General features: G+C 42.2%; 1 protein-coding gene and 1 long non-coding RNA gene across 5 annotated transcripts in view, besides 8 other annotated features; one reads left to right on the top strand and one right to left on the bottom strand.

Moving 5' to 3' along the window:
* ADAMTS16 (ADAM metallopeptidase with thrombospondin type 1 motif 16) overlaps window positions 1–13,503 on the bottom strand; it is a 179,975-nt gene that overhangs the window by 133,141 nt on the left and 33,331 nt on the right. For all 4 annotated transcript variants that reach the window (NR_136935.2, XM_047416874.1, NM_139056.4 and 1 more), the window contains exons 4-5: window positions 4,859–5,120; window positions 913–1,112 (exon numbers count right to left, since the gene is read on the bottom strand). Coding sequence is in view for 3 of the 4 variants with exons in the window: in XM_047416874.1 (XP_047272830.1) it covers window positions 913–1,112; window positions 4,859–5,120 (462 nt within the window). In the remaining variant the exon portion in view is untranslated. The remainder of the gene's footprint in view (window positions 1–912; window positions 1,113–4,858; window positions 5,121–13,503) is intronic.
* Window positions 3,071–3,895: an enhancer, noted in NCBI's record as "OCT4-NANOG-H3K27ac-H3K4me1 hESC enhancer chr5:5183382-5184206 (GRCh37/hg19 assembly coordinates)". NCBI's record gives its function as "activates a minimal SCP1, AML or CMV promoter by ChIP-STARR-seq in naive H9 embryonic stem cells {active_cell/tissue: H9 hESC(naive)}" and the evidence as "EXISTENCE:reporter gene assay evidence [ECO:0000049][PMID:30033119]".
* Window positions 3,896–4,719: an enhancer, noted in NCBI's record as "OCT4-NANOG-H3K27ac-H3K4me1 hESC enhancer chr5:5182558-5183381 (GRCh37/hg19 assembly coordinates)". NCBI's record gives its function as "activates a minimal SCP1, AML or CMV promoter by ChIP-STARR-seq in naive H9 embryonic stem cells {active_cell/tissue: H9 hESC(naive)}" and the evidence as "EXISTENCE:reporter gene assay evidence [ECO:0000049][PMID:30033119]".
* Window positions 6,578–7,320: an enhancer, noted in NCBI's record as "OCT4-NANOG-H3K27ac hESC enhancer chr5:5179957-5180699 (GRCh37/hg19 assembly coordinates)". NCBI's record gives its function as "activates a minimal SCP1, AML or CMV promoter by ChIP-STARR-seq in naive H9 embryonic stem cells {active_cell/tissue: H9 hESC(naive)}" and the evidence as "EXISTENCE:reporter gene assay evidence [ECO:0000049][PMID:30033119]".
* Window positions 6,578–8,064: a biological region, named in NCBI's record as "OCT4-NANOG-H3K27ac hESC enhancers GRCh37_chr5:5179213-5179956 and GRCh37_chr5:5179957-5180699".
* Window positions 7,214–7,508: a silencer, noted in NCBI's record as "tiled region #429; K562 Repressive non-DNase unmatched - State 24:Quies". NCBI's record gives its function as "represses a minimal TATA promoter and a strong SV40 promoter by Sharpr-MPRA in K562 cells {active_cell/tissue: K562}" and the evidence as "EXISTENCE:reporter gene assay evidence [ECO:0000049][PMID:27701403]".
* Window positions 7,321–8,064: an enhancer, noted in NCBI's record as "OCT4-NANOG-H3K27ac hESC enhancer chr5:5179213-5179956 (GRCh37/hg19 assembly coordinates)". NCBI's record gives its function as "activates a minimal SCP1, AML or CMV promoter by ChIP-STARR-seq in naive H9 embryonic stem cells {active_cell/tissue: H9 hESC(naive)}" and the evidence as "EXISTENCE:reporter gene assay evidence [ECO:0000049][PMID:30033119]".
* Window positions 10,950–13,503, top strand: part of ADAMTS16-AS1 (ADAMTS16 antisense RNA 1) — a 34,077-nt gene continuing 31,523 nt past the window's right edge. The window contains exon 1 of the long non-coding RNA NR_198969.1: window positions 10,950–11,169. This is a non-coding gene — a long non-coding RNA (ADAMTS16 antisense RNA 1). The remainder of the gene's footprint in view (window positions 11,170–13,503) is intronic.
* Window positions 10,960–11,460: an enhancer, noted in NCBI's record as "H3K27ac hESC enhancer chr5:5175817-5176317 (GRCh37/hg19 assembly coordinates)". NCBI's record gives its function as "activates a minimal SCP1, AML or CMV promoter by ChIP-STARR-seq in naive H9 embryonic stem cells {active_cell/tissue: H9 hESC(naive)}" and the evidence as "EXISTENCE:reporter gene assay evidence [ECO:0000049][PMID:30033119]".
* Window positions 11,461–11,961: an enhancer, noted in NCBI's record as "H3K27ac hESC enhancer chr5:5175316-5175816 (GRCh37/hg19 assembly coordinates)". NCBI's record gives its function as "activates a minimal SCP1, AML or CMV promoter by ChIP-STARR-seq in naive H9 embryonic stem cells {active_cell/tissue: H9 hESC(naive)}" and the evidence as "EXISTENCE:reporter gene assay evidence [ECO:0000049][PMID:30033119]".

The following is a 13,503-nucleotide window of genomic DNA, read 5'->3' as shown; positions in this document are numbered from 1 at the left end:
GGAAATATTGGAAAAGCTCTACAGAAGAGAGGCAAACACTTCCACGCGTCAGAGCAGCTTGCTGAGGACAACAGGGCCGTGCTTGCTTTGACCCCGTGCAGCGGGAAGGTGGCTCTATTTCACTGCCTCCTCAGCTTCCTGGGAGCCCAGAAATCTAGTGGTTCAGTCTACCAAAAATAACACTAGCCATAGTAATCACATGACATCATGGAAAGATGGGCACATTCAGGGGTACTCTGTTTATTGAGGCAGAAGAATGCAAAGACATACTTTTAAAATATTGTCATTAAAACTATTCTTAAAAACACACTTTGGCAACCCAATATTTTGTCTTCTGTTATTTAGATTTCACTTACATGAAATGAGGCTTAGTATACCTCTCATCACTCTTCAGTGATTAATACAGCTGCCAATTTGAGACACAAACACATTTTACCTGAGGTGATATTCTAAAAGGTTGCACTTTTCCTGTTTTTATAGATAAAATAATTTATATTTAGCATTTGAACATTAGTATTTCTAAAAAGTTGGGCATTTCTATAGAGCCATCTAAAATCACACATCTAATGCTGATAATCAGATTTACTGCACTACAGTGGCTCAGCAACCCCTTAGAGATTTCCAGTAAATAGATGCCAGTAAGCCCAAAACATCTCACAGGCTTACAGAGGCTTATAGAGAAGGTCAAATGATTTTTCCTACTGAATTAGTCTATGAAGTTCTGAAAATGGCTCTTTTCATTGGAGCATAGAAAACTAAATGAGTTATCACCAATAAAATATTTCTCATATATGGAACATCAATCCACAGGTAACAAGTAAAATGGAAACACACACACACACACACACACACACACACACACCCTACGAAGTGCAATGACACAGGTGGCCTCAACTGGAAGGATGATCCTACCATGTTGAGTATCGTGAGCACGTAGGTGGTGATATTTTCATGGCCATGGTTTTGCATCATCTTTTTGTCGACCACCACCAAGGTCTCCACGTTCAGTTCTTCATTTCTATGGGACCTCAGAAGAGAGCGCTTATGCCGTAAGCAAGACTTATACTCATCTGGCAAGATGAAGAGGTCTTCCTTGGGAGGCTGGGGCATGTCTATGGAGGGACACATGGAGGGCAAATGGAAGCACAAGTCACACACAAAATCAGGGCCGTAACTCGTCATAGAGAAATTTGGTCTCAAAAATGAACACTCATGATAAAAACCACATAAACCTTTAAAACCTTGTGATGCAGAAACTTGTATTAAAGTAGCACACTAAATTTAAGTAAAATTCATGTAGTCTAGGCATCATGGAAATCATGGCTGTATTTCCCTTTATATAATTTCATCCTAATTTAAAACAGCAAGAGAGGGCACTCTTTGGCTGTAACTCCTAACATCTGGTAGCAAAAGGGTTCAGAGACTTTGAGCATAGGGATTTGTAGAACAGATTCCTCTGCAAAGACAAAGCAATGGAACAAACAATTACAAGAACACGAGCTGGCTGGCTTGCATTGTTTTCCTGCTTGAAGACTTTTAACGACTTGACAATGTTTAAAGTTGATTTCAATGTCTGGACACATAACTAGCTTGTCTACACTGTTTCCAATAGATTATAAAATGCTTGAGGCAGCTCCACTTCACTGAAGAGCTTAATTTCCTAGAAAGTACCATAAATATTTATGTATTTGATTAGAAGACAAAGCATACACTTTCCTCTTGAAGTAATCCCTTTAAAAATATTTTTGGCATGTATAATTGTTAGGTTAACACTACATTGAAAACAATTAGGTTTAGTGGATGCCTCAGAAAATGTGGTTAGAATTGTTTCGTGTGAAAGTGGACTTCAAAAAGCCCAGATATTTAGGTGGCATGCACACAAAATCTATGCAGACTGTATTCACGGAGCATACTGTAAGCAGATGCTATTTTGTTTGACTAGTACATCCAACACGTTTCATTTTCCTTTGCTAACATACTTCCAAAATTAAATAAAGCTTTTGGAGAATAATAATGATACCAGCTAATGTTTATTGAGCACTCATTTGCCATTAATGTTTATGCAATGCCCGCAGGTGTGAGCTCCACCCTAGGAGATGTCTCTGTGTAACTCGTGCAGTCTGTACCCCAGGCTGAGCATGGGGTTCTAAGGATGAGGTCATGAAGGCAGAGGAGAGGAACATTACTGGCTCACACCCCTTCCTTCGAAAGTGTCGGAAATAGCTTTCAGATTTGGACAGTGTGGTCCTAGAACTCTTGTTCTTAATTACCCCTGGTGGAAAAATGGCTTTAGGATGAAAACAACATGTTAGCACAGGGCTCAGCAGCTACAGGCCCTCAGTATTGGGGGCAGGGGTCAGAAACTCCGTGGGGTGGTGATCTCACGGGCCTCGGCTCTGAAAACCCCTCAGCAAATGACTGCCCCTCAATATGGAGCTTGCAACGTTGTCCCCAGAACACACAGGCCCCAGCTGCACACCCACCATCACCTGAAGGGCAGCAGGCCCACTAATCAGCCTGAGGTCCAACCTCACTATTGGTTTTCAGCAAATCAACCTGCCTCTGTTTGCCCTTTTCCACCGAAAAATGCCTAAGTGAACACAGAAAAGGCTCCCATTTTCTGAACTGGGGACTCTAATAGGAAAGAATCATTGTAAGTGTGAATTCCACCAAGACAGAAGAGCAGGACTGCCCTGAGTTCAAGGGAAAGTCCAAAAGCCTCAGGGACAACATGGAAATATCGATGCACAGATGGCACAGGGCACTGAGGATGTGTCCGTGCATAGGTGACACGAGGCCCTGCGGTACATCCATGCATCGGTGACAGTGCCCTGGGGGTGCATCTGTGTGTAGGTGACATAGGGCCCTGGGGGTGCAGTGCATCCATGCACAGGTGACACGAGGACCTGTGGTACATCCATGCATCGGTGACAGTGCCCTGGGGGTGCAGTGCATCCATGCACAGGTGACACGAGGACCTGGGGGTGCGTCCATGAGCAGGTGACACAGGGCCCTGAGGATGCACGCTCCAGTAGGAAGCAGCGCTGTTGATTCTGCTCACTTTTCCGGGGCCTGGGCTGGTCACATGGCCCCTGGCCACTCGAGGCCCAGGAGTGTAGTACTATCACCTGCATACCCCAGGGGGGACGGAAATATTTGGCAAACAGCAGGATGTCAATCACCAATATCCTCCACCTACAAGAGGCAGTTTGTTGAGCTTTCTTTCGCTAGTTTTATTATGAAACCATGGGAACTTTTTTCCACTTTTCAAATACAGAATGTGTTATAGAGTTTAGCATCCTTTTTGAAATAACTGCCTTTCACTTACCACCACTATTACAATTCTGAAGTGTCTCTCAAGGCAACACACACTACACACACACGCACACTCCCATGCCTATGCACACACGCGCAGATGTGGACACCACACTGAGGTCATCTCTACTGCCTTGCACACAGAGCTGTGCCTTAGCTGTGCCACCAGCCTGAGTCATGGCGACCACCTTCAGAGAGGAACGAAAGGATCGCAGTCCTCTCACAGTGGTCTGCATTGCTTGATGTTTTCAAGGTCCACTGTGGCGTCTGCTTAAGAGCTTGGTGTGTGGTCTGTCAAAGCGGTTAAGACGGCCCTGCTATCTCTCCTGCTGAGATCCAGGTGTGTGGGCCACTTCCTCTCCCTGGCATACGGAATTTGTCCTGCTCTGACCACAACCACACCGTGAGCCCTGGCAGCAGAGTCCTGACTCTGACCTTGGGGAAGCCTCCGCCACGCATCTGGGTCCTGACCTGCCGGTCACGGCAGCCTCGGGCAGCTGTTGCCGATATGCACGCCCTTTTCAAACACTCACCCAACCTCAGGATTCCCAACTCTCTCAGCCTCCTGCTCACCTCCGTTTGTTCTCAGCATGGTTCTTCCTGCTACCTCCCCTGCACCTGAGCCCACTAAGTTCATCTGGGTGTGAGGTTTTCAAGTCATCTGAATGCAGCACATGACTTTCAGGGGTAGGACGAAAGGGGTTCAGAGGACACAAAGGCACTGATGGTTTAACAAGCACTGATTCTGTTGTTGTAGGTGCCAAGAGATTTTTGTTCGTTCACTCATTCAACGAGATTCACTAAGTACTTGCAACAGGCCTGCCTCTATTCAGGGTGCTGGGTGAAGCAGTCATAGAAACCAACCACGCAGGAAACAATGGGCAGGGGGAGAGGGGGCAGTCCAGAGACTCCTGAGGAAGGTTCACCCAGTGATGTTTGAGGAGAGAGCTCAAGGAAGTGAGGGACATTCCAGAAAGCACCCAACTTCAATTCTTGAATTTCTGAGAGGTTTCTACATAAAAATGTAAATAATAAACCATTTCCTAAATGTTCATGACAAAAAAAGACTCTGATAAAGCTTTGGTGATAAATCGCAGGTCTACTATGTCACACTGAGTCTGCCCTTTTGATGTGGTAATGTATATAAGCATGCATATAAATGAATTACCTCAGCAGGAAAACTATGTGGGCTTGAATAAATCTAAACCTCAAAAATATAGAATGACTGAGTAGTGATGCCTGGGTTCTTTTGAAGATGTCTGGTAGATTCTGCACTTCTGCACACTGTGTCATTTAATCTACCCAGGAAAGAATTCTTAAAAAGACATCATTTACCATTATCCATCCATCTGCCATGGAGAGATGTCCCGTGCTGAACTTACAGATAAGGGACTCTCTCTGGAATCATTGCTTCAGTTTAGCAACGACAGTCCATAGATTTCACCCCGTGGGCAGACATGCTTTGAAGAAAATGTACAAGCTTCCATCAGCTTACATAAATGTCAGCATCACTAAATACACACAAAGATTCGCCCTTACATACATTTCTTGCGTCTTCCACAGAAATGCTGCTTTTGTGGCAGTCCCAGGCGAAGGTCGCTGCTGTGCAGGGGTTGATGTGCCAGCTCCCATGTCCTTGAGGTCACCAGGACCTCACTGGCCCCAGGAGCATGGGGCTCTGTGGATCTCTTGTACAGTACGTGGGATGGCGAGCTGCCTTGGGCAGCTCTGCCGAGTTTCCATGAGAGGTGTGAAGGAAGTGGCCTTAGGAAGTAATCTGCCTCTTCTGTTCGTATCATGCCTGACTGGAAAAAATAAAAGGAAAGAAAGAAAACACAATTAGACTTTCTGGTTGAAGCCAGGGCCGATTCTCCAAGCATTGCATTTGTTATTATTCTCTTGGAAGCATGCTGTTCCCTCCAGTGAGAGCGAACATTGGAAAGGTTCAAAAACCCCGGCTGAGAATTAGCAATGGGAAAGGCCTCCACACACAGTCTGAGCTCTCTGGCTCTGCATACCTGGAGAAAGGCTGGCGTGGAGCTGCTCCAGGACTGGACTCCAGGAATGAGAAAGGGACAGAGGGTGCACAGCATACCAAAGTCAGTTAATTTACACCAAAAGTAATGACGGTGCAAGAAAGAACACGTGCACACTTAAATATTAAATATTCATATTGGTGAGGGGTCTCAGATAAAGTGATCAAAATTAGAATCCTAATAGGGTAATGTGCAAAACTCTGTTAAAACGAATTTGAAAACAAAGCAAATGTAACACTTTCTAGAAAAGGGTAACTTAACAAAATTAATCTAGAGGAAAGCATAAAAATTGTTCTTAGGGAATCAGGAAGGTTTCTCTAAGCAAGATATTAAAGGAAATAGGAAAGCAGTGATTTTATAAAAATACCAAAAATGTCTGTAGGGCAAAACAGACTAAATACAACGTTAAAAATCGTAGAGAGACAAAATCGATTGCTTTTTTACCTTTTAGGGTGACAAATATTTTTAAGATCTTGGTAGCACGATTGTTGGTGAGCATGAGGACAAGCAGGCAATCTTACATTCTGGGAAATGTAAACTGAGGCCCCACTCAGGAGGCAGCCCCAGGGCCAGCCCATATATCTGTGCACCACAGACATTATGAGTTAACGTGCACAATTCAACTCCAGGGAGTTAACTTTTGGGAATTCTCGCCAAATATTTCTTGTAAGAATTTCTTCAATATCAGTGAACAGGTGTGAATGTGTATGGCAGCCTTGTTTATAATAACAAAACTAAAAATAATAAAAACAAGAAACAATTTAAATGGTTACCAGTAAATTCAGGGTCAATTTTTAAAGTATATTTGTATAATTGGAGGTTATATAACCACTAAAAGTTAGAGTTACGTACTGATGATAATTATAATTAAACATTTTTTTAAGTTTCTGAAGCTGTGGCCCATATTTTCTACGTAATACCTATTGATTACTCATCCATAGTTACATTCTGTAAGGCATCAGTGCCCCCTTTTTATGGGTGAGGAAATAGAGATGTAGAATGATTCAGTAATGTTTTCAAGGTCAGCTCGCCAGGAAATATAGTGTAAGGATTAGAACAAAATCAGAGTACTTTCAGAACTTGTAAGTTTAAGGTTTATGCTACAGGGTTTCCAAAAGGTATTAATTTGTTAAAAGTATATAATACAGTATATAGCATGCTCTCAATTATGTTCATTTTAAAAATTGTGTATCTACACTTAAAGAATTTTCTTGGATGACTGAAGAGAAATTGTTGATGTTGGAACAATAACCATCTTCAGGGGGAAAAGCCTCTTCAGGAGGAGAAAGTTGAGTAGGAGGGATGCAAGAAGATTATACTTCCTTTTTATAGCTCTCTGCACTACTCAAGTTCAGGTCTGTGCATCCATTCTTTTAAAATAATGTCAATGGCATTGCTGGATCATTGGATTACAGATGAATTTTAAAAGTCCTAATAAATGTTATTACATATTGCTCTAATTTTATAATGCAATCTACTCCTGCAGAACATCAGGGTATCATTTAGAGCTCTGCAATACTGAACTATTAGTATTACTATTATGCTGATTTTTTTTTCAGTGATTTTGCAAATCTAGTGCTGCCCACTGACTGAGACACTCACTAGGTATTCTCAGCTGCTGACCCACGGCATCCAATGTCCATTCTAAATTTGCCTCTGATGTGGGGAGCCTGGGTCTGATTCTTACTTGGGAGTTGCGGGGAGAGTTCGCTCACATTAATGTCCACGTAGTGAAGCCCTGCATGGGGCTGGGCTGTCCTGGATGAGTCCAGACATTTGTACAGTGTGAACTGCAGGCCTGGAGGAGCATTTCCTAGACCTTGAGAAAACGCCAAACACAACTCTCAAGGAAAATAGGATTTGGGGTGGGAGACATAAAAGACAGAGGAGAGTAGGTTTATCAAATATTGGGAGAGGAAGCATTGGCTGCAGTGTTACCACTGGGGGTGAGAGGAGGCAAGACAAAGGTAAGCTTGGTAGACTATCAATGAAGCCATCAGCACCACCATGGGGGGTAGACCTCCTGGGGCCCAAATACCACACAGCCATGGGAAAGTGAAATTCTTAGAATTTATGCCCAGGATTGAGGGAGAGGGCAGAGGCAGCCTTTCCTGCAGTGCTATTCATGAATTACTTCGGAACCTTCTTGGCCTTCTAGAACTCCGGGAACTAAACGAAGACACAACAACACTTTACCTTTTACAGTTCTACCAGGGAATGCCAAGTGTGAAATAAATTAAATAATGGTTAAAGCCAATTAGCTTTCAACCTTTTTGTATTTTAACTAACTGAGAAGCGTAAGCAGTCATCAATGTGTTCAACCTTGTATAACGCTACCCAATTAGTTTCTCCATTACCGAAGGTAACCAGTTTAGGTATTAAACCAAAAAAGAAGAAAAATTCATGCATGGCTTAAACCAATAACAACACTTTTTGATATGCAAACACTTGCTCACTTTTCAAACCCCCCCTCAGAAGATGATTGGCTCCTTAAGAACCTAGAATAGATGTGATTCAGCATCTCCCCTGCAGGTTGCAGCGGACTGATAGAAGGGAAAGGCCGGGTGAGTCGGACACTGCAGAATTTATCATCCCATTCTCATACTTATTAGCTGTGTGACTTTGGATGATTTACTCAGCCTTTCTGTGCTGCTCTGTCATCTAGGATGCAGATATAAGAACAGCTACTTGTCACGAGTTTGTAAGACTTAATATACTTAAAGTATATGATCTAGTGAACATTCAAACAAGATTTGCTGAATTAATAAAACGAAGGATGTAAAATATTATGCTTCGCCCTGATGATCTTTGCTTTCCTTCTGATAATTCAGAGAGCCCCTGAGGAATTTTTCACTCTGCAGTTGGAGATCCCTCTGAAGCCCTGAGTGTTGGTGCACCCAGCACCACAATCATCCCAAACACAATTTTGTTTCTGACCTGCTGCTTTGCTTTTTACACTCTTTCTGGTTCCTGGCCTACACGCTTGTGATCCAACACAGCTGTTTCAGATTCAGAACCATCTCTCCTTTCCCCCAGGCTCAAGGCTACATTCTGGGTGGCCCAGGGTGAGAGGACCGGATCCCCAGGCAAAGGTGTCCAGCTGCAGTTGGCAGATTTTTGAGTTTTCATTAACCAAGTCATCAAGCATTATACTTGTTTCATTAATAATTTAGTCTGAGTTACAATATTCAGTATTTAAATAATCTCCAATTTCATTAAATACATAGAACATAGTAACTGATAAGACTGATATTTTGATATGCCTTGATAAACAACAGATAATAAAAAACACAAAAAAGTTACTTCATTAGCTTGTTTCATTATTAGTTTGCAAGCTATTCTAAAAGATAAGGTAAATTGCAGAAGATTAATGTTTTCTTCTTATCAGAATGAAGAATATTTGTTTGGAAACTCAAAATGTCTAGGGGAACCTGCCTGTAGCTCACAGTAACCACTGGAATGTCAGGCGGGTGGATTATTAACCAGGCCTCAGAAAAGGCCAAGTCCTTCAGGCTTTGCAAAGGACAGGCTTCGCTCTCACAGGGTCTGCCTTTCTCATGACCAATTCTGGAAATCATTTTACATTAGAAAAACTCACCAAACACTTATATTGCCTTCATAAGAAACGAACGAATATGTGTTGTGTTACTGCTGGGAAATGCTAGCTCTGAGCAATGTAAGTAAAGAAAATATTGAAGCTCGGCAGTAGGATGTTTACTGTAGTATATTTGTTGGCATTCATCATTAAAAGTTGGTAGATTTGTATTAATTGGGATCTGCTGAGATTCATAGAAACTGCTCATTAAAGTTTCATAAATCAAAAAATAAAATAGAAATTAAGAAGAAATGAATAAACGCCCAGTCACTGAGGTTATTTCTACAGCAATGAGACAGACTCCCAGTGAACCAGTTCCAAGCGTGTCTCAGGTGACGCCATGCGCCCTATTCATGAGAGCCACCTATCAATAAACACAGTAAAGAAGTAACTGGGCTCATTATAAGAAAGATGCATTTTAATTATCAAGTAATTTCATTTTTACTCTCCTCCATCTTTTCTCCTGAAGTGTCATTTGTTTTGGGAATATTCTATTCATTCTAGGTCTTCTTAGTGATATTTCAGAAACACTAGATAATTTCAACTTTTATCAAACTTTAATCAAAGTGAAACTTTGCTTTTTATTTTCTTATAACCTCAGAGCCAAATATGAATCTACACCAAAAGCCACAGTAATTCTTGTTGTGTGATTATATGTGATATCTTGAAAAAAAAATTTGGCTAAAATCTTAAATAAACCAAAAAGCTTCCTTTTTCTCCAAGAAATTTTGTGTCTGTTTCTTTTTGTTCCTCTCTCCACTACACCTGACTTAGGCACTGGGCTCTCTCAACCTTTCTGTCTTCAAGGACAACGGGGCTGATATGCTGGTCACAGGAATCATGCATCATCTTAAACCCAAAGAAGTCCAGGCTTCACAATTTCAGTCATTTGCCCAGCTCTAAACTTGTCCCCTGGTCACTTTCCAGTTGCTTATGTATAGACTCAAACTACTAAGGCTTTGACACTGGACACTCTGACAAAGTTTCTGGTTAAAGCTGAATCTTGCGAGTGATGAGTTACTCCCATCATCATAATCCATCAGAAAGGACTCAGTCCTTGGTTTCTCGCAAACCCCAGTTCCTCCTGCAGTGATATCAGCACATATTTGTAAAACATAAATACCTGTTGTTTGTGCATGAGGAGGAGAGGAGGCAAGGGTGAGGCAGGGCTGGACGAAGGAGAAGCAGGACTGGGAAGGAGTCATCTGGAGGTTGACTGGATATAGGCATAGATGGAATTGTTGAGTTCTACCTGGATCTTGTGGCCTGGCTAAACTGGATCAGTGTAATAAACATCCCAGCAGCAGAAGTGTGACTTGGGTGAAGTGCCAACTGTCTATGTGCCCCACAAATACTGTCTCAGATGGCCAACATGCCTCCCATGGTTTCTGCACAGCTGGGCACACCTGAGTCATCAGCCAATCAGGCTTTGGATGAATTCTATGGCAGGAAGAAGGCTAGAGAAAGCAGAGTATAATTTAATAGTATAATTTAAGAATGCGCTATGATTATCCTTGGTTATTCCAAATTATCATTGACTGTGGATTTACTCAAAACCATTCCTGTATCTATATGTTCCTTGTTCACTAGGAGAAGCAGTGATTTTTTTTGTACGTTAAAATCTCATCACTGAAGCCTCAAGGGTACAACACTGAGAACATCCATATTTCTGGCCTTGTTCTGAGAGCATGAAGAGCTCTCATATTTTTAGTATTTAATACTCATTTAATTCACCTGGACATTAATTAAATTTACCAAGATTTCTTGCCAAACTCTACAATCTAATCTTCATAGTGATATAATTTTTGATTAGAGCTTAGATGATAATATTTGTGACTTCCTCCATCCCTGGCTGAAGAAGGAATTTGGAGTGAAAGGTGATCCTCTGTCAGGGGTAAATACTTCTTACCCAGTTCTTAGGGTTTTCTAAGAAGGGCAGGACCCAGGAGCACAGCACTTCTCAAACCCAAAGTGCAACAAGGAAACATTTCAGTGGGAGAGAGGACGTTCTCACCATTGTCCTTGCCTGTGGTGTCAAGGGGAGGGTCAGGTGGAGGCAGCCAGCTGTGAGTGAGGAACAGCACAAGACTGCTGAGAAGCTGATATTAAGAAGGCAGAGCCAGATGGCCAGACAGAAGCTTCTACCAAACCTCCTCCTCACAGGAGCACCAGATTGGACAACCATCCACACAAAAAAGTACCTTCATGAGAACCACAATTCAGGTAAGCAACCACAGTACATGGTTTTAACCTCATATTGCTGAAAGAGTCACTTGAGGCTCTGAGGAGGGTAGGAGAGACAGTCTTGATTTGCCAAAGCCACCCCTTCCCCATCTCCTGGCAGTGGCCACATGGCACAGACAGAATCTGTGTGATTGTGGGAGGGAGAGAACAGCGATCATGGGACTTGGCCTTGGAATTCAGTGCTGCCCTATCACAGTGGAAAGCAACACAGGGCAGAACTCAGCCGACACCCACAGACGGAACATTTAGACCAGACCAGGGCAAGCTGGAGGGTCAGAACCATCCCAGTGGACAGAACCTGAGATCCAGTAAGCCTTGCCACTGTGGGTGAAAGTGCTCTGAGGTTCTACATAAACCTGAAAGGCAGTCTAGGCCACAAGAACTGAAATTCCTAGGCAAGTTCTGGTGCCATGTTGGGTGTACAACCGGTGGACTTGGGGGCATGCAACTTAATGAGACGCCAGCCAAGGTGGCCAAGGGAGTGAGTGTGTTAGCCCTCCCCCAGCTTCAGAAAGCACAGCTTGCCACTCTGAGACAGACTCCTCTCTACTTGAGGAGAGGAGAAAAAAGTTTAACGAGCACTTTGTCTTGCAATTCAGAGACCAGCTCTGCCCCAGTAAGATAGGGCACCAGGTAGAATTCTGAGGCCCCCATTCCTGGACCTAGCTCCCAGATGACATTTCTAGACACACACTAGGCTTGAAGGGAACCAGCTGCATTGAAGGGAATGACCCAGTCCTGTCAGGATTCATCTCCTGCTGAGTAGAGAGCCCTGGGGCCTGGAATAATCAGCAGTGGTACCCAGGCAGTACTCGACATGGGCCTTGGGTGAGAGTCAGAGATGTGCTAGCTTCATGTGTGACGTAGCACATTTCCAGTTGTGATGGCTATGGGCAGAGACTTCTTCTGCTTAAGGAAAGTAGGAGGAAAAGTAATGGGGATTTTGCCTTGCAACTTAGGTACCTTGCAACTTAGGTACCAATTCCAGGCTTTGGCTCTTGGATGGCATTTCAGGGTCAGCCCTGGGTCAGAGAGGAGCCTACTGCCCTGAAGGGTGAGTCTCAGTCCTGGCAGCATTCACCACACATTGACTGAAGACACCTTGGGCCTTGAATGAGCATTGGAGGCAGCCAGGCAGTACCTATCAGATACATTTAACAAAGAGATTGAAATAATTAAAAAGAATCAAGAAGAAATTCTGGAGTTGAAAATGCATTTTACAAACTGAAGAATGCATCAGAATCTTAATAGCAGAATTTATGAAGCAGAAGAAAGAGTTAATGAGCTTGAAGACAGGCTATTTGAAAATACAGTCAGAAGAGACAAAATAAAAGAATAAAAAAGAATGAAGCATGCCTACAAGATCTAGAAAATTGTTTCAAATGGCAAATCTAAGAGTTATTGGACCTAAAGAGAAGGCAGAGAGAGAGATGGAAAGTTTATTTAAGGAATAAAACAGAGCACTTCCCAAACCTAAAGAAAAATATCAAAACCCAAGTACAAGAAGGTTATAGAACATCAAACAGATTTAACCCAAAGAAGACTACCTAAAAGCACTTAATAAACAAACTCCCAAAGATCAATGATAAAGAAAAAAAAAATCCTAAAAGCAACAAGAGAAAAGAAAAAACAACATAAAATGGAGCTTCAATACATCTGACAGCAGACTTCTCAGTGGAAACCATACAGGCCAGGAAAGAGTGGCATAACATATTTACAATGCTGAAGGAAGAAAACTTTAATCCTAGAATAATATATGCAGAGAAAATATCCCTCAAACATGAAGGAGAAATAAGGACTTTTCTAGATAAACAAAAGCTGAGGGATTTAATCAACACCAGACCTGTCATCCAAGAAATGATAAAGAGAATTCTTCAGTCTGAAAGACAAGAACATTAGTGAGCAATAGAAAAATCATGTGAAGGTAGAAAACTCACTAGAAATAGTAAATACAAAGAAAAACACAAGATTTTATAATACTGTAATTACGTTTGTAAATCACTCATATCTTGAGTAGAAAGACTAAAAGATGAACCATCAAAAATAATAACTACAGCAACTTTTTGAGAAATAAGACTAAAATACAAGTAAAAACAACAAAAAGTTAAAATGCTGGAGGACAAAGTTAAAGCACAGAATTTTTATTAGTTTTCTCTTTACTTGTTTCTTAGTTTGTTTATGCAATCCTGATGAGCAGTCATCAGTTAAAAGTAATGAGTTATCCTGTAATCCCAGCACTTTGGGAGGCCGAGGCAGGCAGATCATGAGGTCAGGAGAGCGAGACCATCCTGGCTAACATGGTGAAACCCCATC

The sequence above is a fragment of the Homo sapiens genome, chromosome 5 (assembly GCF_000001405.40).
Source record: "Homo sapiens chromosome 5, GRCh38.p14 Primary Assembly".
Taxonomy (NCBI): Eukaryota; Metazoa; Chordata; class Mammalia; order Primates; family Hominidae; genus Homo; species Homo sapiens.
The sequence above is the reverse complement of the archived record's forward strand: the minus strand, read 5'-3'. Positions and strand labels throughout refer to the sequence as shown.